At 53.1% G+C, this 25,118-nt stretch overlaps 1 protein-coding gene across 24 annotated transcripts in view; it reads right to left on the bottom strand.

Moving 5' to 3' along the window:
- PDE9A (phosphodiesterase 9A) overlaps positions 1 to 25,118 on the bottom strand; it is a 121,889-nt gene that overhangs the window by 78,668 nt on the left and 18,103 nt on the right. For 6 of the 24 annotated variants that reach the window (NM_001315533.2, NM_001001570.2, NM_002606.3 and 3 more), the window contains exons 2-3: positions 10,580 to 10,650; positions 8,848 to 8,925 (exon numbers count right to left, since the gene is read on the bottom strand). The exons of 9 other annotated variants lie outside the window; for them this stretch is intronic. Coding sequence is in view for 10 of the 15 variants with exons in the window: in NM_001001570.2 (NP_001001570.1) it covers positions 8,848 to 8,925; positions 10,580 to 10,650 (149 nt within the window). In the remaining 5 variants the exon portion in view is untranslated. Of the gene's footprint in view, positions 1 to 8,847; positions 8,926 to 10,579; positions 10,651 to 25,118 lie in introns of those variants that run through there. 9 more of the 24 variants (NM_001001582.2, NM_001001585.2, NM_001001571.2 and 6 more) reach the window with 3 other exon arrangements.

The following is a 25,118-nucleotide window of genomic DNA, read 5'->3' as shown; positions in this document are numbered from 1 at the left end:
CTGATGCCTGTGCTCAGCTGGGCAAGTCCACAGTGCCCAGCTGTCCCAGGAACCTCAGCCTCACTGCCTTACAGACCCAGAGCCCAAGGCGTGAAGAGGCCAGGTGCTTTGCTGATGGCCTCAGTGTGGCCAGTGAGGACCCGTGCCAGGGTTGCCTAGGAAGGGCCTGGGCTGGGAGGACAGAGTGGAGGGTGGGCAGCAGAGAAGCCGGGTGTGCTGGGCTCCTCTTGGATCCTCCTTCCTTCCTCTTCTCAGTGTCTCTCCGGCTCCCACCATGAGAGCAGCCCTGGAAATGGTGCAGTGGGTGGAGAGAAAGCCAGGACCTGCGTGGGCAGCAGGAAGGGGCTTTGCCACCCTGGCTCCCCACTCCTCTCCGACTTTCTTCTCCTGTGTCTTCTCTGAGGAGCAGCAAGGACTCTTTCTTCTCCTCCTTCCCCTGCCCCTTGTCCCTAGAAAATTAATGCTGGAGGTGGGGGGCGGGTAGTGACCAGGCGCAGAGAAGGGCTCCAGGAGGTGGGGCAAGGGCTGGAGGGAGAACAGCATGGATCCCACACAGTGCCGGCGGGGACAGAGCCAGAGAGGCGTGTCCAGCAACTTCTCCCACGCAAGAGACTCAGAGGAAGGTGTCCTGGGGACCTGACACAAAAACAGGCTTACCAAGACAACTTCCCCTCATACAGGGGCACTGGGCCTGCTCATCCACCCAAATGGAGTCCAGCCCCCTTCAAGCCCATTCAACCAATTCAGAGGCCAGCCTCTCCGAGGAGTCTGGTAAGCTGAGGGCAGGAGCCATCACATCAGCAACAGAGGGAAAAGTGGACGGACAGGGAGCCTCTGTGAATGCTCCAGGAGGCTGCAGAAACCTTCCTGGCCCTTGGGCCCAAGATCCTTGGGTTGCATTTCTGGGCCACTCAAGATCAGTCTTGGCTCCCAGATGCTTAATCCTTTGGCTTCTCACAACCCGTTATGTTGCTCCCATGAATGAGTCAACTCTTGGCTCAGTCTCAATGGAGCTGAATCTTCATCATGCTCAATAACAAATTAACACAGGAAGCACTCCCTCTTTGGAAAGGATAAGCTTGCCTCCAGCTTCTACTGTATTTGTCTTTTTCTAAGATCTAACTGCCTGGGCTCTAAGACCTCTTTTAAAACACATTTAATAGGAGGAGGAGGAGGCCTGGAGCCATTCTGGAATATAGAAAGCTTTTCTCTAAGCCAGAATGGCCGAGAATACTGGCCCTGCATGCACAGAGCTCAGCCGGTGGAGAGTCACCTGCGGCACAACTTGGCCGAAACCGGGAACAAAAGGAGCAATGGTGTGTGTCGCACGGCGCCGTCCTCTGGCCCTCTCCCCTCTGTATGTGTCTCACCACACACCCCACTTTCACTCACGCTACTGAGGTGTCTGATTTATCTCCTTCCACTGCATCTTGAAGCAGTAGTGACTGGGGAATGGAAGGGGTAGGGTTGTCAGGAAGCAACGCCCATGTTAGCTGGATGTCAGGATCTCCAGAATGTTCCCGGATTGGAAAGGAAAATGACACCAGATGGCTCAGAGTCCCTCCAAGGAGGAATGCTGGAGCCTTATTTGATCATGGTTGGGCTATGACTTTTTATATTTGTTGGTCGTTAGGTTGTTTAGTCATCAATTATTTTTCTTGCCAGCTCTAAAAGGGAGTGGAAGCCAATCAGCCTATTTTCCATATTTTCCATGATGTAAACGTGTTCCAGGTTATTTCAAATGCCGGCTTGAGCGTGCTCCAGATTGCACCAAACGTCCAGGAGCATAGGAAGGGTTAGGCAGCTGCCAGTGGATCCCCAGCCATAGGAGGGGCCTTTGGATTTGGGGCGGGGACAGGAAGATTGGCAGTGTGCAGAGGGGGAATGTGCTTGGAGGTTTGCAGAAGGGGAGTGCCCGCTGGGCTGGGGTGGGCATTCATGCAGCTCAGCAGATTGGAGACAAGTACATTATGGTGGATTGGGGCCAGACATCCCAATGCGGGGGGCTGGAGAGTGTCCTGTAGCCAACAGGCCACTGGAGAACTCCATGCTGGGAGTGATGGGATGAAAGTGTGTTTGGAGCCTATTTTTCTGGAAGGTAGCAGGACTCAAGGGAGAGATAACTGTGAGGGGTAACAGGAGGCAGAAACCAGGAAGTCCACCTGTGAGATGCGGTCCACAACAGGAGCCAGCCACCAAAATCTAAAGGATGGCATTAAGGCAAGGAGTATTTTGAAAGAATAATCCAATGCAACAATTTGTTTAGTTTGGAATGAGGAGCAGAGAAGAAGCTAGAGTTTTAAGCTCTAAGAGACCGTGCAACCGGCATCACCCCTTCTGATCAGGATGGAGGTGGTCTGTCAAGAGCCCTTGGAATTTGGAGATTTCATGAAACGCCCACCCTATGGCTGTGAATCTGGGAAGAATCCAAGCAAGCTAGGTGCAACCAGCCACCTGCAGGAATCCAAGCATGCCAGATGCAACCAGCTGCCAGCAGGAGAGCCTCCTCCAAAGACATGGTTCCTGGGCCTGAGGCTGGGGGGACAGTGAGGTGACCAAGTCCACACCAAGTCACTGCAGGTGACTTCAGAAGTGGAGGAAGTTAAAGAGAGACACAACCCAACCAACCCACCAACCAACCAACCAACCAACTGCTGACGTAGCTTCTGAGCTAGAGGGAGAGGGCTGCTGTCTGCTAGGAAGAAACAAAGAGTTTACCCAGCATGTTTCAGCAAGGGAAGGCCCTGGGTCTGGTAGACATAAGCTTCTGGTCACCAGAGGGTGGGGTAGAGTGGTTTCTTAGATTTTCCAGACCTTATATCAGCGGTTAGTCCCCAGACTGTGTGCTGGAATCACTTGCAGAGCTTTAAAAAAAAAAAATCTCTTAAAAATCTGGACTTAATTGAGGGGTCTGGGCATCAACTGGTACCTTTTAAAAGATTCCTGGGTGGGCTGGGCATGGTGGCTCACGCCTGTAATCTCAGCACTTTGGGAGGCTGAGGTGGGCGGATCACCTGAGGTCAGGAGTTTGAGACCAGCCTGACCAACATGGAGAAACCCCATCTTTACTAAAAATACAAAATTAGCCAGGTGTGGTCGTGCATGCCTGTGATCCCAGCTACTTGGGAGGCTGAGGCAGGAGAATCCCTGGAACCTGGGAGGCAGAGGTTGCAGTGAGCTGAGATCACACCATTGCACTGCAGCCTGGGCAATAAGAGTGAAACTCTGTCTCAAAAAAAAAAAAAAAAAAAAAGTAGGACGCGGTGGCTCACGCCTGTAATCGCAGCACTCTGGGGGGCCGAGGCAGGTGGATCACGAGGTCAGGAGATCGTGATCATCCTGGCTAACATCCCGTCTCTACTAAAAACACAAAAAATTAGCTGGGCGTGGTGGCGGGCGCCTGTAGTCCCAGCTACTCGGGAGGCTGAGGCAGGAGAATGGCGTGAACCCGGAAGGCAGAGCTTGCAGTGAGCCGAGATCGCGCCACTGCACTCCAGCCTGGGCGACAGAGCCAGACTCCGTCTCAAAAAAAAAAAAAAAAAGATTCCTGGGTGGTTGCAATCTGCAGCCAGGGTGGAAAGCCACTCTTTAGTGGAACTAGCTTACAGGGAGTGGTTCAAATAAGAGCAGGCGTGTGTGCTTAGGACGCCTGAAAGCACAAATTGACGGGCATGCGTCTCGCTCTCAGGCATTCTCTGCAGGAGCTCAGGCACCTGTGTGGAAATCGGGGCAGTGAATTTCCAGGCCCCGTGGGTCACCGTGTCAGGTGGGGCTCTGAGCAGCCACCTGCCCAGCCTTCCCACGGCCCCTTTTCCACGCAGCACCATAGTCACAGCAAGAAAGTCAGCAAAGGATGCCGGCTCCCTCCTGGACATGTGGTGAGGGAATGGCTGCAGCATGCGGCCGGGGGGCGGGAGAGAAACGGTGAGCATTCCCGAGGCCTCGCACCGCGGCTCCGGTGCAGGAAGAGTGCGAGGAGCAAGGCGTGCGGGCCCCGAAGCACATCTCTGAGGATGGCCGCATGTCACCAGGCACCGAGTGGAGGAGAGGAAGAGGGGAGAAGCCAAGGGGGAGGCAGGGCCAAAAAAGAAAAGGCCAGTAACGTCACCTGCCGGCGAGGGAAGAGGGACGGAAGCGGGAGAGAAAAGCCCCTGGGTCAGAAGAGCATCAGTGGCGTGTCCCGGGCCAGCCTCGTCCTCCTCACTGGGAACCTGCAGAAAGCCTGGCTTTCTGCTGCAGAAAGATTCTCGGGGCCCACCTCCGTCACAAACCAGAGACTGAGGGGAGCTCTGTGCTCCACCAAGCCCCCTGCGGATTCTGACGCAGTTGTCTGAGAACTACTAGGTTGGAAGATTGGGGGAGGGTGAGAGGACAGCGACAGAGCACAGGGGAGACCTCAGACACCAGGTGCTCCGCCTCAGCACCGCTGATGTCTCCGGCCACGTGTGTCATTGTTGTGGGCCTGTCCTGTGCGCTGTAGGATGCCATTGGCATCCCGGGTCTCCACCCATCAGATACAAGTAGCAGGCCCTTACCCCTGGTGACATCCAGAAATGTCTCCAGACGTTGCCCTGCGTCCCCAGAAGAAAAAACTGCTCTGGGCAGTGCAGAGGGGGAGGCACGCACGAGCTGGACTGGTTCACTCCGTCCCCAACTCATTCCATCCTGCACCCAGCATGCCCCGCCTCGTTTAGGGGCTGGAAATCCAGCAGAGAGCAAGGTGAAATTTCCTTCCTATGAGAGAAGACCGTCCAGCGGGGCCAGCAGCAGTGAGAACCTCAAACAAGTAAGTGAGATCACTTCAGACTGAGGCGCACACTGAGGGGAGGAAGCCAGTGATGTGCTGATGGTGACAGGTTGGGTGACTTTGGATGGAGATGGTGAAGGGGCTGGGTGACTTTGGGTGGTGATGGTGATGGGTCTGGGTGACTTTGGATAGTGATGGTAAAGGGGCTGGTCACTTTGGATAGTGATGGTGATGGGCTGGGTGACTTTGGATGGTGATGGTGATGGGTCTGGGTGACCTCAAATGGTGATGATGATGGGTCTGGAAGACTTTGGATGGTGATGGTCATGGGTCTGGGTGACTTCGGATGATGGTGAAGGGCCTGGTGATAGTGATGGTGAAGAGGCTGGTGACTTTGGATAGTGATGGTGATGGGCTGAGTGACTTTGGATGGTGATGGTGATGGATCTGGGTGACTCTGGATGATGATGGTGATGGGGCTGGTAACTTTGGATGGTGATGGTGATGTGTCTGGGTGACTTTGGATGGTGATGGTGCTAGATGACTTTGGATAGTGATGGTGATGGGCTAGGTGGCTTTGGATGGTGATGGTGATGTGTCTGGGTGATTTTGGATGGTGGTGGTACTGGATGACTTTGGATAGGATGGTGACGATGATGGGGCTGGTGACTTTGATGGTGATGGTGAAAGGCTGGTAACTTAGGATGGTGATGGTGATAGGACTGGGTGACTTTGGATGGTGATGGTGAAGGGGCTTGGTGACTTTGGATGGTGATAGTGACAGGATGCGTGACTTTGGATAGTGATGGTGATGGGTCTGGGTGACTTTAGATGGAGATGGTGATGGGTCTGGGTGAATCTGGATGGTGATGGCGATGGGACTGGGTGACTCTGGATGGTGATGGTAAAGGGGCTGGTGACTTTGGATGGTGATGGTGAAGGGGCTGGTGACTCTGGATGATGATGGTGATAGGTCTGGGTGACTTTGGATGGTGATGGTATCGGGGTGGGTGACTTTGAATGGTGATGGTGATGGGGCTGGTGACTCTGGATAGTGATGGTGATGGGGCTGGTGACTTTGGATGGTGATAGTGAAGGGCTGGGTGACTCTGGATGGTGATGGTGATGGGTCTGGGTGACTTTGCTAGTGATGGTGATGGGCTGGGTGACTGTGGATGGTGCTTAAGGCAGGTGGCTGGGCTGGCACCTAGCGGATAAGCAGAAGCTGGTTCTGCAGAGCTGGGAAGGCAGGATCCTGTGGGCTGGGCATGGTGCGGGCGTGGGTACAGGGGTAAGTTGGAGAAGTTGGTGAGGCATAAGTTGGCAGGGCCCAGATTGGGAGGCCACCATGGAGAAGAAGGTGTCTTACCAGGTTGAACCTGGCAGCCGTGTGGGAGAGGCAGGCTGGAGGCAGGGAGGTCAGAGCTCAGTGAGGCCTGGACCTAACAGTGGCAGAGGGAATGGAAGAAGGCACAAAGGAGACGGGGGTGCAGGAGGCGCAGGCACCAGCCTGGGGGACAAATACAGCCACATCTCAGCACGTGCCGCCCCCAGCCACGATCAGTTTGTCATGAGAGAGGAGAGTCTATTCTCTCCTCTTCACCATGTCTATGCCTATATCCACACCCACGATCATAGATAGAGCATCTGAAGCTCTTTCTACGTCCAGAGCCACATTATCTAGATCACATCCACATCGCTGTCTAGATCCATTTCCACATCGCTGTCTAGATCCGTTTCCGCATCACCTGTACCCGGTTAGATCCACACCCTATGCATCTATCTATATCCTCATCCGCGTCTAACTTCCTCTTCTCCACCTGTGTCCTCATCCGCGTCTAACCCCATCTTCTCCACCTGTATCCTCATCCGCGTCTACCTCCATCTTCTCCACCTGTGTCCTCATCCGCGTCTACCTCCATCTTCTCCACCTGTATCCTCATCCGCGTCTACCTCCATCTTCTCCACCTGTATCCTCACCCGCGTCTACCTCCATCTTCTCCACCTGTATCCTCACCCGCGTCTACCTCCATCTTCTCCATCTGTATCCTCATCCGCGTCTGTCTCCACCTTCTTCACCTGTATCCTCATCCGCGTGTGTCTCCATCTTCTTCACCTGTATCCTCATCCGCGTGTGTCTCCATCTTCTTCGCCTGTATCCTCATCCGCGTGTGTCTCCATCTTCTTCGCCTGTATCCTCAACTGCGTGTGTCTCCATCTTCTCCATCTCCACTGCTCCCCTGTCCACGTCCACTGCCATGTCCATATCATGGTACCTCATCTGTCTCTGTCTCTTTATCAGAAAGGCATGCATTTTGGCATCTCAGCAGAGAGCTTCCAGACATTTGGGCTCTTTGGGCTCAGGAGGGCTTTTGTCTGGTGTGTCTGATACTGTCTCTTGTTAATAAGGCACCTGGGGCCAGAGAATTAGAAGGGTCAAGGTGGGCTTCTCCTATTTCCCGCCGAGTTTAAATGTCTCTGCACGCTGTTTCAAATGACTTCAGGAAAACAAAGCAGTTTCTCTCAGATACCCAGCTGGCATGGACAAGGTGCTGGTTTCTGTGAGGTCCCCTCTGAGAGATCATTTTAGTCTTGTGGGTGTCAGGAGGACAGGTCACTCAGTGACTTTGCTTCTGAGCGAGACCCCCCAGGCTGGAGCTGGTGCTGAGGCTGACAAGATGCTTACTGGAGTCTCTGGGGAGCCAATTAGCACTGCACCTTCCGGGGAGTCTGGAAGCCAAGAGTCAGAGCCAGACTGTGTGGGGCAGGAGACGGGCATCCTGGCTAGGGCAGGAGGGGAGACTGACGGGCACAGCCAGATGAGAGGAGCTCGGCTGAGGCCTCAAGGTGACAGGGAGGACGGCTGACCAGGACAGCTCTGGACACGTCCACTGGGACCTCGCTGAGGGGGACGGCACTGGCCATGCCCACTGAAGCCTCACTGAGGGGGGCGGCGCTGGCCATGTCCACTGGGACCTCGCTGAGTGGGATGGTGCTGGCCACACCCACGAGGACCTCGCTGAGGGGGATGGCGCTGGCCACACCCACGGGGACCTCGCTGAGGACGGCACTGGCCATGTCTACTGAGCGCTCACTGAGGGGGACGGCTCTGGCCATGTCCACTGAGACCTCACTGAGGGAGGCAGCACTGGCCACGTCCACTGGGGGGCCTCACTGAGGGGGACGGTGCTGGCCACGCCCACTGGGACCTCACTGACACAAGGGTCTGCCTGACATGCACTTTCTCCTGTGGGCTCAGAGCTGGCCATGGGTCAGTTGGGCAGGACACCCTGATGACCAGATTGACAAGTGTACCATCGCATCTACTGAGTCCCTTGGAGGCACAGTGAGCCCCACTCTGGGAGGAACAGAGGACGCCAGAGAGGGGTCCTGAGGTCGCACGCCCCGCCCCCAGCTCACCTGCTCCCTCGCCTCATGAGGAAATCTAAGTTCCACTTTGCCCAACCACAAAGAGCAGTGGAGGCTGCTGGGGTCTCCCCAGGTCACCAGGAACAGGGGCAGGTCACTGACCTGAGGGCCCCTGCTCCGCGTCCTTCCTGGGCCATACACCGCTGGCTTGACCTAGTTCACAGACATTCACGGAGGCTTTCACCGGCCTCTCCTCTTGACTTCCTGGGCCTCCCTTGTCCCTGGCCCTTCTGTGCTTAGAATCTCCCACAGGCATCACTTTATGAACACAGAGACCGGCCCTAAGTGGGTAAACACGAAATGTCCCCAGGGGCTCTGTAGGGAATCTCCCGAGGTCCTTCCTGGGGTTAATGTGGGGATCCCGGGGCCTGGCTCTGCAGCTCTTGGCTCACCCTCCTGGGCCTCAGTTTCCCCTCTGTACAATGCCTCCTCCCGTTGAGAAGCAGGTGCAGAGCCACGGCTGCAATTGTTATCTTGGAACGTGCCCAGCTCCTCTGCAGGGGAACACGACGAGTCAAGCTTCCTTCACACTGGCTCCTACCCTCGCTCTCCATCTCTGCTGTCAATTCACACCTTTCTGCAGTAGCACATTTACAAAATCACAGAAAGCCTCCCATGTCATGGAGAGAAGTGCCAGGCACACCCCGAGGAGCGCGGCCGGAGCCTCTTACCGTTCTGAATTCGCGGGCATGGTGGGGTCGATGGAGACCATGGCGTCGTCGGTGGTCAGCAGGGAGATGGTCGTGTTCCTGGAAAACACACCCAAGCCCGTGTTTTCGCCCATAGTGTGCTCTGGGATGTACACTTGAATGTACACATGGGGCCAGAGCCCTGAGACAACCAGGACAGTCCCAGGACCAGCCTGACCAAGGTGTGGTGGGATGGGAAGGGTGGGAGGCCGTCCCCAGGGCATTGAGACTCCGATTGTAAATGAAATTAAACAGCTGCGTATAATCCTAAGTGCGTGTAGATGCTGAAATACTTTAAAATGGGAATTGGAGCAAGTCTACTTTATTGAGTTGGGAGATTTTTTTTAAAAAACTGTGGTAAAATAGGAACTAACATTTATATCAGCAGATGACGAACTCATAGTTTGTCTTTCCGCTTCCAGTGCCTTTGGGAGTCCGTCTGAACTGCGCAAGTCTCTCCTACAAAATAGTTTTAAATGCTTAGGATGAGTCTTCCTCCAACCTCACATGTTTTGGGGCCTCTTGCAAGATGTGTTACCTCGACCAAGTTAATCTCTGATCTTCAGTTGTAAATTGTTAAAATCTGTGAAATAGAGGTGATACTCAAATCCCAGGGCTGCTATACGGAATACTGTGTATATATATTTATTTATTGGCACATTGCTTCATATATGGTGCCCAAAGATGCCCCAGACCATGGGCTATTTTTGCGGCTAAAACTGCCATTTGCTGCACTTTCAGACGTGTACTTTCATCTCCCTTTTCTCACCTGTCTGTGAGAAACTTCAATTGCCCTTCTCCACCTCCGTCCTAACTTTAAAGTTAATCCTTGAGCCAAAGCTACTCCTGCTCACCCTTTACATTTGGAAAGTTTGCTGATAATTAGAAAATTCACTGGCTCGAACACACTGTTGATTTAGGACATTAACTCCTGTGGGACTCTGAGGACTCGATAAGGCAGATCACTGGTCTTTTCAACCCATTTCTGAAGTCAGCCTTTCACCCAGTGTTGATCTGGGTCAAGCCCCCTGGGTAGAAAAGGCACCTATGGGGTGATGTGGGGCTGGGGACCAAACACACACAACCACCCCGCTTTCTCCAAAAGTGAATGAAGAAGTGAGAGGAAAAAACCCACACTCTTTTTTATTTATTTATTTATTTTGAGGCGGAGTCTCGCTCTGTTGCCCAGGCTGGAGTGCAATGGCATGATCTCAGCTCACTACAACCTCTGCCTCCAGGGTTCAAGCCATTCTCCTGCCTCAGCCTCCCAAGCAGCTGGGATGACAGGTGCTCGCCACCACGCCCGGCTAATTTTTGTATTTTTAGTAGAGACAAGATTTCACCATGTTGGCCAGGCTGGTCTCGAACTCCTGACCTCAGGTGATCTGCCCACCTCGGCCTCTCAAAGTGTTGGGATTACAGGTGTGAGACACCACGCCCGGCAGAAAAACCCACACTCTTAGGAGGGCGGTTCTGTTTAATTCAGCCCGACGGTTTCCTCCTTGTGGACACAGCCATCACCTGTGGAGGCAGAGAGGCCCGGAGGGCGGCTGAGCCTCCCTCGGGATTCTGCGCATTGATTGATTTCGAAGAGCCCCTTGTAGAAGGCCGGTGCCTCGGGCCCTTCAGCGCCTCTTCCCGCCCCTCCCAGCCATCCCGAAAAGGCGAGGAGGCCGCGTGGCGTCACCGGGCAGAGCCCGCAGCGCGCACTCACCGAGGCAGGCCGGTGGCGATGCAGAACAGGTCCATGATGTCGCTGGAGTTGCAGTACTTGCTGAAGATTACCTGCAAAACAGAAGCGCGGTGAGGCGGCAGCGAGGGCGGCGGGTCTCCCTGGAGACGTCAGACGCCACGTGCTTCCGCTTCGGCTCCAAACTGAAGGTTCGTTTTGAAAAGAAAAGCTGTAACTCTACGCACGGGAATGTCACAGGCTCATCTTTTCATTTGGTTGATGCATACGGGTGGTGAAAAATGTCATTGTCGTGTTCAGTGGAAAGAGTTGTGAAAAATACAGCGATGCCCCCTTGCCCACACGCCTGTCCGTGACATGGTTATGGTGAAGGCGCATCCCTCGGAAGGGGCCAGGCAGGACTGACCACCTGGGGTCAACACTGTCGCTTGGCACCGGGTCTTCAAGTATCTCATGGGGGCTATTCTGTAAATAAAATAAAATTCAAGTTCATTAACTTCAAAAGAAAAAAGAAAAAAAGGCCGGGCGCGGTGGCTCACGCCTGTAATCCCAGCACTTTGGGAGGCAGAGGCGGGTGGATCACCTGAGATCAGGAGTTCCAGACCATCCTGGCCAACATGGTGAAACCCCGTCTCTACTAAAAATACAAAAAATTAGCCGGGCGTGGTGGCAGGTGCCTGTAATCCCAGCTACTCGGGAGGCTGAGCCGGGAGAATCGCTTGAGCCAGGGAGACGGAGGTTGCAGTGAACCGAGATCGCACCATTGCACTCCAGCCTGGGCAACAAGAGTGAAACTCCGTCTCAAAAAAAAAAAAAAAAGACTGCCTTTCGGTATTTGGGGACTGAGGGACTGAGGCTGAATGACGAAGTCGAAGAGGGGAATCACATCACAACAGAACCGTTGAGGATCCTGGGCGCCCGCGGTGAAACTGGCGCCTGCAGAGAAACACCACCTACGCGCGGGATGGCCGCGCTCGCTCCCCAGTGCCGCCGGGGCTGTGGTGGAAGCGCCGGGTTAGCATCCGCATCTTCTGTCCAAGGGGTCCCGGCCATGAGTCTCGGCTCTCAGGGAGGGGGTATTTCGAGCTCGGTGAGGGTGGGGCTTCTCCAGGGCTGGACAGAGCGCGGAACGGGCCACGCCGAGGCCCCGCCTTCATCGCAGAGGATGCCTCCCTGGACAGTTTCCCCGGCTCCTGGCTGCCAACGCAGCTTTTCTTTCCAGCACAAGTCCCCGGTGTGGGGGAAACGCAGGCCTAGGAAGATGGTTATTTTTCGGTGCCCAGCGCACCATTTTTTTTTTTTTTAAGCTAAGATTAGTTTTCTTTTTTCTTTACTTGGAAACAGTGAAATATAGAAAACAGATTTTTTTTTTCTGTGACTAACACCATTTCCTGTGGGCTGCTGAACTGGCAACAATAAGACAGTAAACAGCACCTCTCCTTGCCCGTTATCCCCACTGGTATTTGCCCCAGGGGTAACGGTCGGTCAAAGGTGGCCTGTGTCATTGCGTGGTTCCTGACGTCTGTGGCATCGGCTGTGTCCCTGGCTGCCTATGCAGCTTGGTCCTGGCCCTGCTCGCACGGGTGCAGTAGCCCCTTCAGCAGCCCCCACTTTGGCCTCACCCCATTTCCCCCACATCCTCCTTTGCAGGACTCTGCTGGCTCCTCCCAGAGCTCCCTCCTCTGAGATGTGCTTCTCCTCCTGTGTCCTGGTTCCTGGCCTCGCCTGCAGAGGCTGCTTCTCCCAACCCCACTGCCGAGGAGTCCTGCACTTGGCCGGGTGCCAGGCCCTCACTTCTACCATGGCACCATCCTCAGCCCTAGTCACAGTTCACGCTGCGGCCTCCCAGGCTATGCCCGTGGAGTTGTGGCGTGGCAGAGCCTGGGCTGGGGTCGTGGCCATTTTCCCACCAAGACAGGACAAAAAGCGGTTCCCATGTGGGCCCCTGTGTAACTCACTTCCTTCCGGTGTGGCGGACTTACTTTGGGGGTCTACAGAACCCCAGTCTGCAGAGGGCAGGGGTGGAAGAAGAGGAAGGCAAGGAGGGCTCTTTCTTTGAACATTCTGGATCTGCAGCTTCTGGAGAAGCAGGATGTGGTTTGCAAGAGGCTTGCTGAGGAGGTTGGTGTCTTCAAAGCGTGCTTCTGGCCCCGGCTGAGGGATTCCCACGCAGTGGGTCCGGGTTGGGCCCTAGGAATCTGCGTTTGACTTCTATTGGGTTTCTTGGATTAGAAGCCACTGCTCAAAGATGTGTTTCTACAGTGTCTCCCTCAGATGAGCGGGGTGGTCCTGCAGAAGGCGGGGGGCCCTGTGGTCCCTGTGTTCCAACCTGGGTGGCCGCAGCAAATGACGCCTTTATAAAGTCCTCGCCCCACCCCGCCCCACTGGGTGCTTCTCCTCCTGGGCACAAAGGGCACCACATCCTGTCCCAGCCCCTCAGAGTGCACGGGGGATGATCTTGGAGTTAAATTCTCTCCAGACACATCTGGCAAGACCGACTCAAATCATGGCTCCTTGGGCTGGCTTGAAGGGGGTGCACCTACCAGCAAGACCTCAAAAGGCGAGGGGAGGGCGATTACGGAATCGCAGTCTCTTGGGACTGGGCAGGCTCGTCTGACTTTACTCAGAAGGGAAGTGGCTTTGCCAAGGGCAACAGGCTCATGGGCCTGGGGCTTCTCCATCTCAGGAGCATGGGGCCAGGTCGTGAGGCCAGGCAGCCCAGGCGGCCCCGGAGGCCTGGGGGGATCCTTGACTGCTTCTTACTCCTGGGACTCTCAACTCAACTTCTTTGAACCTAAATTTCCTCTGCTATAAAATGGACCAAAAAAGGGGTAGCTGTCATCTACAGAAGCTTTTACTCCAATGCCCCCTGGAAGGTTCTGCACCAGGCTGGAGGCCAGAGCTCGTGATTCAATGCAGAAGCTTCGAGCCCCATGGAAAAGGACCGCAGTAAGCACCTCCGATGACTGACCCCCAAGCACAGACTCCTGGGGACAGCTTCTGATGGCCTCGCTCAGATGATATTCAGACCCTGCCAGTGGGCTGCCCAGGGCTTCCAGGGCTCTTTTCAGTTGAGGAACAGCTGGCTTCATGAGGCTGCAGCCCAGGAGCCAGTGGAGAATCAGTTACGGAGCACTGAGTGGAATGAGTGAGGAACGCTTTACTTTTTGGCATCATGCGTGTCGTTGTACTGTTGGACTTTCCGGCTCTGTTATGAAGCCCTTTCCCTGTCTTCTTAAGCTATCAGTCACCTTTAACGACCTAGATTTTTTGTAAACTGAAATGAGTAATTCTTAAGTGATATCTGATTTTCACCATCTGCTCTCCTTCCTCCCCAAATGCAAACTTTTATGAAGGCTTTACTTTTGGTGGCAATATCTGCAAAGGTTCCGGAAGGATCTGTCCTCCTCCTTGCCAGGATAAAATTGGGGAAGGTTTATGCAACCGAGCCTAAGCCTGAGAGACGTGCGTGAGAACGACGCTCATTTGCTGGGCTGTGACCGCTCTTGAGGGGCCGAGGGTGACTGTGCAACGTCCATGCCCACAAAGTCCCCTGGGGGAGGGTAGGGGCTCTCAGGGTCACAGCCTCCAAGATGGGAAAAAAGGCTCTACTCTGGCAGGCCAGGGTTTTGGAATATCGTGGGGGCCTTGAGAAGAGAGGGGTTCATCAAATTTATAAGTACTGCCGGTGAAATCTGGAGGAGAGCTTTTTATGCTTGGCTTCCTAACCTTAGGATAGCAAACAACAGAGGCTTTTGCTTCTGATATCTTCTGAGGTCTTCCAGCAAAACAAACTGAAAAAGGCCTGTTTGGTATGGTGGCACTCTTGCCACCTCTATGCAAGCAAGGATGCCACACCTAGGGGGACCAGCCTTATTCTGCCATCCAGAATAATCTCTCTTTGAGATTATGTTGGAAAAAAGGTGGGGAGGCTGTCAGGAAATTTGGAATAAGCACAAAAGTTGGCACTGGCTGTCTCCACTGGAGAATATAGCTGCATCCGTTTGTAAGTCCATTTCAACATTGCTTCACTCCTTATACATTTAGGGTTCTTGGATTTCTCTTTTGAACTGGTCGTACCTTCTTACCAGTTCCCATTCGATTCATCAGTTCAGTAAAAATGTTTGACACACGGTCATTTTAGATCTGGATGAGAGTCATGACTTCAGCTTTTGCTGTTCATTAGTCTCCAGCGGCGCCAAAGTGGGTGCGAGTTTGGGCATGAGGCGTGAGCCCTAGGGATGGGGGCTTGGACAGCCGCGCTCTTCGCTGGTGTCAGAAGCACCCAGCCTGATGCTGCTCCTGACTGTGGGAGGCCAGCCCGGCTGCAGCTTCAGACCACGGGAGGACCCCTAGGCTGCCTCGTCAGGAGGCCATAGGGCTTCCTGACCACATGCTGAAGAATTTTGCAAATCCTTTATCCAGAAACAAATAGTGCAAAAAAAGTTGATAAAATGAAATTTGAAAATGAGATGCAGAGGCAGCAAGATTAAGGGAAAAACGAAAGTTTTATGTTGGCTTCTGGCTTGCAGGCGAGTCAGGGCTGGAGCTTACGAGAATGCACGGCAGGTCATCACAAACCCTTTTGTGTGGTTTGACTGGCAGTGCTGTGATATTAAAGCAAGATGAGAGAAACAAATGATGAGACAGAGGGCGGCTCCCCCACTGGAAATTGATGCCTCTTCATAATCAGCTGAGACCTGGGAATGTCAGCGGGAACATCACTGTCTGGGAGCCCTCAAGCTGCCTACATTAGAGAAGGCTGACACTTACCAGGTGCCAACCACAGGCAAGCACTAGTCTAAGATGTTTACACACGGAAACCAAGGCACACAGAGATGTGTGTGGCTCCCACGCACCCAGCCAGAAGTGTACATCAGGACTGCATCCTGGGCCATCGGCTGCGGACCGCACATGCTTGATCACAGCATACACTGACTCCCAGATTATTTAATGTCTATATCCAAAAGAGCCTCCTTCTAGACACCACGTAATGGAAGGAGCAGTGGATTTGAGAACAGGAAGCCCTTTGGGTAACCAGTGACTCCTTTTGTCCATGGCTTCTCTTTCAACCCTGTGGGCAAGCGCATAACCAGTGGGAGCCTCAGTTTACCATTCTGTAAATAGGGTTGATGGCATCAACTCCACCTGCCCCTTGGGGCTGTGAGAAGCAGTAAGTGAAATGACAGGTTTGAAAAGAATTACACAAAACACTACTGGTTTGACACAAAGTTCAAGTTTGTATCATTTCAGTTGCCACGAATCTCAACGTCCCCACTGGTTGCAAATCCTGTGATTTTCACACAAGTCTCTAGGAAGTCTCTGAGTGAACAAAGGCACCTAGAAAAACTTTTCGCCACATTTTGTCTGGCAGCCACTGTTATGTCAGCAGGAACTCGAGTGCGCAATCTGCAGCGTTTCCGGAGCTGGGAAGAACGAACACCTGGCTCCTCTGTTCCCACCGTTTCTTGGGGAGGGCGCTGCCTTGACCTTCAGAAAGGCGGGAATGGAGGCCTGGGGAGGGGTCCGCAAGCGGTGGGTTCACAGCAAGACAGTCCTGCTGCTTGTTGGGGTTGATCAGCAGTGAATCCAGAGAAGGAAGAGAGCTACGTGTCACTCAGGCACACGGTTTGACTGGATTCCTGGCTCAGCTCACGGTTGGTACGGGCCATGGCCCAGCCCTGTCAGGCAGTGCAGGAGGGCACAGGGGACCCGGGGCTCTGGTCGGTTGTACCCTCTTGCTTTGCCACCAAGCCTGTTGTCAAGGTGATGGCCCCATCAGTCAGATTGGCTGGGTGGGGGTCTTTCTGACAAAAGTCCCTCTAGATCACCCCTTCCAAGTGGGGGACCCAGGGTCACAGTGTCCACCCTGCACCCATGACAGCACACGGGACCTCTGCCGGCCAGCTGTCCTGCGCATGCCTTGCCTCCTGCTAACCCTGCCCTGTCTCCATGGCCAAGGGGACTGGAGCAGGGGGCTGCCTTAAGCCCCGCTGGCTAGCTCCCAATCACACTCTTTTGGGGGAACTTTTACTGAGAGATGTGGAGCTGGTGGCGACTGTCAGTGAGCCAGGGTCGCATGGGTTTAGTGCCGGGCTGGCCACACTGGGACCCTGAGAGGTAAAAAGGAGAAGCCTCAGGAGAAGGCACAGGCAGGGGCCCTGAGCCCGGGGGCAGCGGAGGCTGTGAGAGGGAGGGGAGGGGCTGCAGGCTGCGAGAGCCCAGGCCCGCCCAGGCTCCTGGCACCCCAGGTCCTGGGGATTTTTCTGAAGACCTCTCAGCCTCCTTACGACAGTCTCTCACTGAGCCTGCTCCCCACACCCATCGGCCTCTGCAGCAACGCAGATCTTCTTGAACTGGCTTGAGAAAGAGTCTGTTTCTTGCAGTGAGAAGCATCTTGACTGGCACACTTAGAAGAAACAAGGCTGGAGTTTGAGGGTCTGGCCTCCAGGGGGCTGCGAAACCCATGCCCAGGGCCTCTGGGTTAAGGGACAGGACAGAAGGGTCTCTCATGGGTGGGGGGTGAGTCGTTTCCTTTCCGGGTCCAGAGGCATTTTCCTGGATTTGACTCTATTTTATCAAATACAGTGTTCTCCTGTCTCCGCTTGGGCCCTCCGTGGAAAGGCTTATCGGGAGGTTGTGGGAAGGGTCCCTTAAGATCCCCATTCTGAGCCCCACATGGTGCTGCTTGCAGGGTGAGGCTGGGTCGGAGGAGGGATCAGAGCTCAGGCCGGCGCAGCAGCTCCATGAGCAGGTCTCCTCGTCGTGAGGCTGAGAAGAGACACTGGGTCCAGAAGGAGGAGCTCCAGCTCCTGGGGGGTGCTTCATGGTCTTCCTGTAAAACCAAGACTCAAGTAAAGGGATTTCTGAGAGCCCCGAAGCAGCAATCCACCAGGACTCCAGCCGCTGAACGCGAGGCGTGATTTCAGTGTGAGCTGGGCGGGAGGGAGGGGAGACGGAGCGAGGGATGAGGCAGCTCAGGGTTCCGAGTGGAAATCATACTTGGAGGATGCATGCAGTGAATGGAAAATAGGACACAGACTCGATGCCAGCAGCAGCCTGCGGGCAGGCATTCCGGAAGGTTCTTCCACCTACTGAGCCAGCCTGGCATCGACACTTCCTTGCCCACAGCCTGTGGGGAGGAACCAGGGCTCACCTTGGTGAATGTGTCCTGGTGCAGCGCGATCCCCTCCTCGTGACCTGGATCTCTGGGGTCCATGGGACTCCAGCTCTCCCAGCTCACCTGTGTGTTTTTATCTGAAAGGTGCAGCATGAAGCCCAAGGCACCTGCATGTTCCAGTTTGGAGGGGACTCGTCCAGTGAGATCCTTCTAGTGGAGGATCCTTCTGATCAGCGGGAGTCCACTGGGCTTCAGCCCAGACACGCCGAGGGGAAGTGGGTGCCGTGCCACGCTGCCTCCCCCAGCCCTGTCTGTGCACCCTGATCTGTGGTACCTGCTGTCATGCTTGCCTGTCCCCGTCCCACAGACGGTCCTGTCTGCTGCACCTATTTCCCCCGGGAGGTGGCCGCCGGAAGAATGCTGGCTGCACATCCGATGCTGTTTGCCGTCCATCAGTTCTGATTTTTGGAGCATGCATTGACGGATATATGGCCCCTTCCACATACGACTTCAAATTCACACACGCATTCACATATGTGAAAACTTTTTTTTAGTTTAAAGAAAGGCTGATTCCAATGTCCAGCCTCTGCTTTCCTTCTGCTTCTTGCCTTTCCCTTCTTTAAGGTGGTTGTCCAAGGAGCCATGGGAAGATGGTTACCCAGAACTGGGTGTCCTTGGTCCCAGCCTGGCCTCCTACTGGGGCAGGCAGCTCTCAGAAGGGCATTGAGGCTGCGGAGGAGCCAGGCAGGAGTGTGGGAGGAAGATTTTATTTGGGCTCCAGATAGAAAATGGCTTTTCACTGTCTCTGCCCCATTTACCCTTGCCATTTCAGCATCTATTCAGTCCAAATGTGGCTGGCAATGGCTGCTGAGAAAATTATTCCCTCTTCAGAGCAATTAGGAGCTGGGCAGAAGGGCTGGTAATAACAGAGCAGAGATCTGCAGCCGGCAGAGATCCCGCCAAACCCCTCACGCCCCCAGGGCTCTGTGTTGAGTCGGCTTCCGTTGATTCCACACCCGGAAGGGAAGAGCAGACCCTGGTTCATTTTTCTATTTCTATTTGAGGAGCTTCCTTGCAGCTGCCGCGAATATTTCTTGCTGGGTTTGTCAGACTCTAGTTTGGATTGGCACAAAGCCAATGACCACTGGAAATTGTGGGTTTCTTGCACAGACATTTGTGGTGCTACCTAGAAATGCTCCAATTCCTGGACAAACAAGATAACTAGGCTGGGCTCAGTGGCTCACGCCTGTGATCCTAGCTCTTTGGGAGACTGAGGTGGGTGGATCACCCAAGGTTAGGAGTTTGAGCCCAGCCTGGCCAGTGTGGCGAAATCCCATCTCTACTAAAAATACAAAAATTAGCTGGGCGTGGGGGCATGTGCCTGTAGTCCCAGCTCCTCAGGAGGCCGAGGCAGGAGAATCACTTGAACCCGGGATGTGGAGACTGCGGTGAGCCAAGATTGTGCCACTGCATTCCAGCCTGGGCAACAGAGCAAGACTCCATCTCAAGAAAAAAAAAAAAGATAACTGGATGGCAACTGAGGTTTGAGTTGAGCATGACAGGCTGGCGAATGAAAGACAGCAGCACCGTCACAAAAGAACAGTGTTGATGTGAAGCACTTAGGGGCTGGGTCGCGGGGACAGTTGGAGGTGCCTCCCTAAGACAGCGCCCTCTCTGCAAGGCTGGCTGCAGTCTTTTTCACCGGAGAGATGACCCCATAAAGCTGGTAAACCAGGATGGCATTAGTTTCCTCTCCAAATCCCTGAAAATGTCTGTGTTACCTTTCAAAATCATTAAAAAACATATCTATGTCAGGGAAGTCATGCTTTGAGGTTGGTTGTTGTAAAACATGCAATTATGTTCATTGTCTTGCTGTTATCGCTTACATCGGCTGACATTCTTTATTCAATTGCCTTAGCAACAATTTTTACAGAGCTTCTCTGAACTTGGAGTAACGAATCTGGAGCGAAATTTTCCTCATTATAATTATTCTACAATCTTTCCCTCCAAGTGGTTTTAAGTGGCTAGGGCTGAAGAAGAGAGCCCAGGCATGTACACAGCATGATGCTGAGCTCCTGCAGGAGAGAAGGGCAGCCTGTCTTTCCATCACACTACCCTTCCCCAGGAGGGAAGAGCGGGCTCTGCTCCTCCCCAAGGGCAGCTGGTTAATGAGGCCGGACGCTGGGCCCCGTGGAGCTCACTGCTGGTGCCCGCCCTGCTGTATTCACACAGCTACTGATCTCAGCCTCTCGAGCATCTTACATTTCACCCTGCCTCATATTTTTATTTACTCTTGTAACTTGATGATGATGCTTATTAATTATAAACGTCAAACTGACATCAGAAATCTCCCCAACCAAAATAAGGAGGACTGATTTCTAAGAGCAGCCACATTGGCCTCCAAGACATGGAAGGCAAATACTAGTGACAATCCCGTTGACAATTGTGAGAAGGTGACGCACTGCCCCACACTAGAGATGAGTCGGATGCCCTCCAACCCTCCAATGGGCGAGTGCTAAACTGGGGTCGGCCCACAACATGGAACACGGCTCAGCAAGGAAAAGGTGCACACAACCACTTGGATGGATCTCAAGGGAATGATGCCAGTTGGAAAAAGCCAGTCTCAAGAGGTTACATACTGTGTAATCCCATTTATATAATATTCTTGAAATGACGGAATTGAAGAGATAGAGAACAGATTCATGTTCACCAGGACGGGGTGCTGGAAATCGAGTTAGGCATGGGGTGTTGGAAATGGGTGCAGGTAGGGGATGTGGTTGGTTATAAGAGGCAGCCTTGCGGCGATGGAATGTTCTAGACTGTGACTGTGGTTGTGGATGTAAGAGTCTACACAGGCAAGAACATCGTGCAGAAGTAAGTGCACATGCTCAAGTGAGTACAAGTGCATGAGGCTGTTCTTGCATTGCTATAAAGAAATATCTGAGACTGGGTCATTTATAAAGCCAATTTCTAATTGGCTCACAGTTCTGCAGGCTGTATAAGCATGGCACCGACATCACTGGGCTTCTGGGGAGGCCTCAGGGAGCTTTCACTCAGGATGGAAGGTGAAACAGGAGCAGGCATATCACATGATGAAGGGAGGCGTGCACACCCGTGAGGGAGAGAGAGGAGATGCCTTCTACCTTCACACATAAACAACCAGATCTTGCAAGAATTCACTATCTCAAGGATAGCACCAAGGGGATGGCACTAAACCATTTGTGAGAAACCCACCCCACGATCCAGTCACCTCCCACCAGGCCCCACTCCAACACTGAGGATACCAATTCAACATGAGATTTGGCGGGGACAAATATCTAAACGACATCAGCAAGTACAACTGGAGAATCTGGATCAGATGGGGGCTTGTCTCGCTGTCAATACCCTGGTTGTAAGACTGGGCCATAATTTTGCACGACAGTCCCAGTAGGGGAGACTGGGTGGAGGGTACACAGATCTCTCCGTTGTCTTTCTTATGGCTGCATGGGACTCTCCTCTTATCTTCAGGAGAGTATCTGAGATGAAGTGGCGGCACTAACGCAGAGGCAGTGAGGCTGGCGCCGTTCGGGCCCGTGTATCCACACAGCGCTGTCGGAAAGCAGGTTGGCGGTATTTGTGCCCTTTGACTCACAGTCTCATTTCCAGGAATGGCTCTTAGGGACATAATGAAGATAAACATACTAATAAGAGCATTTATTAAGTGCCAGGCACCATTCTGGTGCTTTCCACGGACGATCTAATCTAATCTCCACTGCACCCCCGGATTTATACCCCAACCAATGCCCTGCGCTGCCCTGCTGCAAGCAAAGATGCACACTGAGCGTGTTCCTCTGGATTATTCACTGCAGAGAAATGGAATTAAGCTGAGTATCTCATAAACAATGAAGTGATTACATTTTAGTGAGCCTCCATGATGGAACTTTATAGAGGCATTAAAATCATGTTTTTGAAGACAATTTAATGCTATATTGGAAACCGCTGCTGATGTAATGCTGAGTGAAAATGATCAGGACACAAAATTATGTGAAAGAAAGCCAGACACACACTTACACGCACTTACACACTCCTAAACGCACACCTGTGTGAGAACGCCAGCAACTGTGGCACTTCGGTGTTAACAGCGGTTTTCTCTGGGTAGTGGGGGATGAGTTATTTTCTCCCTGATACTGTTCTGCATTTTTCAGAATTTCTGCACTGAATATGTAGGGTTTTTATAACCAATAAAAAAGTTCTCTAGCTCTGGAAGCTGAGCTTAGAAATTGATAACAGAACCAGCCTACGAGCATGCTGCACTGCGTTTACATAAAATTCTCATGGGAGAAAAAAGGTCTTTACCATTTTTATTTGGAAGAACACTCTTTGGCATTAAGCCAAGCAGCTGAGAAAATTAAACGCCAGTTAACCAGAGGACAGAAATCGGCATGTAAAGAGTGTGTGTCTGGGGGTAGGAGAGAGGCTGGTGGTAGGAGAGAGGAAGGTTCCTGGAGGAAATGGGGCAGTGGGAGGCAGCAGAGAGGACCTGGGGGAGGACGAACAGAATCCGGCATGGAGGACAAGGCGGGGCCCCTCCTGGGAAGGGAAGGGGAGAGGCCTCCCTGGTTCTGCACTGGCTACAGGCGCGTAGGCGGAGCCGTTTTACAAAGGCCAGGGGCTGGAGGGAGGGAGGGGAGGAGCAGCCCCCACCCTGTTCTTCCATCCTGAGAGTCACACGGAGTTCTGACAAGAAGCCTCATAGCCAGGCCTCACTCCCCAAGGGCCAGGACTCGGCAGAGTGTTAAAGAATTTCTCACGCCACTGTACCCCAGCCTGGGCCACAAATGGAGACCCTGTCTCAAAAAAAAAAAAAAAAAGAATGTCTAAAGCCTAAAGCTCCAGCACTTCCTACTGGCCCTCAGATCCATGCATCTCCTACACTGTGGAAGTGGATTTTCAGTGATGAGGAAGGGTGTCGTGTCTGGGGGCTCCAGGAGAGTCCAGTGAGCCTGGGCAGGGGTCCTGCTTGGGCCACTCAGACCACGCTAGCAGGGGGCCGGCCGGGACTTGCTCCTGGTCGCCTGTGTTACCTTGAGCAAGGTTTGGGGAGGGGGAATCTGTCAGCATGGATTCAGATTTCGTTTCTTCGTTTCTATATGTACATCTGCTCTAACTCTTTCAGACACTAATTGCAAAGCAACACACTCATTGTGTAATAACCTAAATATCGACACGTTCAAGGACGACGCATTCTCTTTGGGGTCAGGTCCACTCAGTGTCTGTGAGGCCGTTCATGGCCACTGCCGTGAGACCTGAATGTTTTGCAGATGTCCTGCAGGCCAGCGAGTCGCAGGGCAGCGTCGCCCAGGCATCCAGGCTGGCCCATGTCTGCAAAGCGGTGCAGGCAGGACCCTCCTCACACAGCGAGGAGGGCGGTTCTGGATTTGGGGGGCCACCGTGACAAACTGAAGCAAAGTGATGCAGACACTAATGTGAGCCTATAGCTGCCACCTCGAACCCCCAAATCCAAATGCGGAACTCACACAAGAACCCTCTTGTTCCCATTAATTCTCTCCTTGGTGCCACAAATGCAAATTTATGAAATAATGGAAACTATTATGATTTGCCCAACTGTTTATATATGCTTCATATGTTAGGACGGTATCACAATTCTGTGAGGAAAAGGGTTCAGTTGCTAAAATTGTGCAAAGGGCCGCACTAGACTCATAGACCATCAGGGTGGAGGAGGCTGTGGGCCTGGAAGTGAGAACAGTCAATCAGCGGACTGACCTCTGCTACCGAATGCTCCTAGCTGGCTCTGTTCCACCTGGGCAGGCCTGGGCTTGGCTGGGTCCGTGCCATTCGGCTGTCTCTTACCTCTAGGATCGCCCTGGTCAGTTGTTGATGTTGTACACTGCTCTAGGTGCAAGAAAGGCAGAGGAGTAGGAAGAGAGGAGGTGGAGATGTGAGTTCAGTTCCAGTCCCTCCTCCTACCAGCTTGACCCAGGGAAGATTTCTTAACTTTTCTGAGGCTCTGATTCTTCGGCTGCAAAGCGAGACAAATCCTACCTCGCCCACAGGAATGTTAGGAGGATTCGTCATGCAGATAGAGGGCCCGCTACACATTACTTACTCCGTTGAGTGGCAGCCGTGATTACAGGAGGGGACCCTTGAAACTCATGGATCCTCCTCCTCCTTTTTCCTTCAAAGGCTGTTTCGCAAGCAAGTAGCACCAAGGCACATGGCCTTAACTTCAACATGTCAGCATTTCTGGGTGTTTCAATAGAGTATGGGACAAAAGCCTGTCTTAACTCGGGGATGCCACCGCACAGCAGGCTCTGATTGCTCTCACTGACCTACGGAGCCCCGCATTGATTAGCAGCCACATCCAACTGTGTCCACAGTGCGACAGAAGCTGGAGGCCACATCAACACAAACACATATGCGTTAATAAGATCAACCGCGTCGGATGAACAAGAAACCAAACTCGACGGGTTAAATGATCCATTTGACCTCACTGTGGTTTAGGCCAGTTTTCTCTTTTTCTAAACACGGCAGGGCATCTGTCTTTGCAGGCAGGCCCCAGGTGGGTTCCTCCACACCCCAGCACTGAGCTGGACCTGCCCTTTGGCATGCGTTCAGGGGGTGCTGGTGCCCAAGCTTGCTCCTGTGTGAACCAGGGTGAGCAAATTCTGCGTTCTGTGGTTTTATGTTGTGTGACTAATGATGCCCATGCCACAACCACAACCACCAATGGGGACTGAGACCACACTCGGGCTAGAACCAGAGCCAAACGCCCTAAAAGCCCAGTGACTCTGGGTCCTGAAAAGGACCTCCTGAGTGCTGTGTCATCTTCATTCCCCCACAGACGAGGACAGACAAGAGAGAGAAGAGCCCGGCCTGGCCCTGCTCCAGGCCCTCAGCTCCAGGGGTGCGTGCTGCACCTAAGTCAGACCTTCAGCTGTGGTCTGAACGAAGGCGAGGTGGGCTCGTGGCCATAACGGGATGTGCAGCTCTGTTTGCCTTGTTCTCAAATTACTGATATTTCTGATTGCATACTCAGAATAAATATTGATTTAGGCTCCTCTAAAGGAAAATAAACCAATTCAAATTCCTTTTATTTTCTCTATCCTAGACTGTGAATCATTTTTAGAGCTTTTATAAGCTATTAAGCTTTTATATCAGCTTCCATAAGATTTTGCTAGGCTTTGTCTGCCCTCAAGACAAACAGGCACATCTCAGCCGGGCTTGGGGATCTCTCTGGGAGAGAGAACAGACCAAATCAGCCTGCAGGACCAGCCAAACGCAACCCACTAGCAGATTCACACATTTCTATCTTTGAGGGAGTTAAAAGGTGAATTTTCTATTGCCTTTTTCAGCGCTCGATAATTCCAAGTGTTTAATATTTTTTTAAATGAGCTAAAAGAGGCCAAGCCCCAAATTCCACATTCTATTGTTTTTTCTTATTAC

This window comes from Homo sapiens, chromosome 21, assembly GCF_000001405.40.
Source record: "Homo sapiens chromosome 21, GRCh38.p14 Primary Assembly".
NCBI lineage: Eukaryota > Metazoa > Chordata > Mammalia > Primates > Hominidae > Homo > Homo sapiens.
The sequence above is the reverse complement of the archived record's forward strand: the minus strand, read 5'-3'. Positions and strand labels throughout refer to the sequence as shown.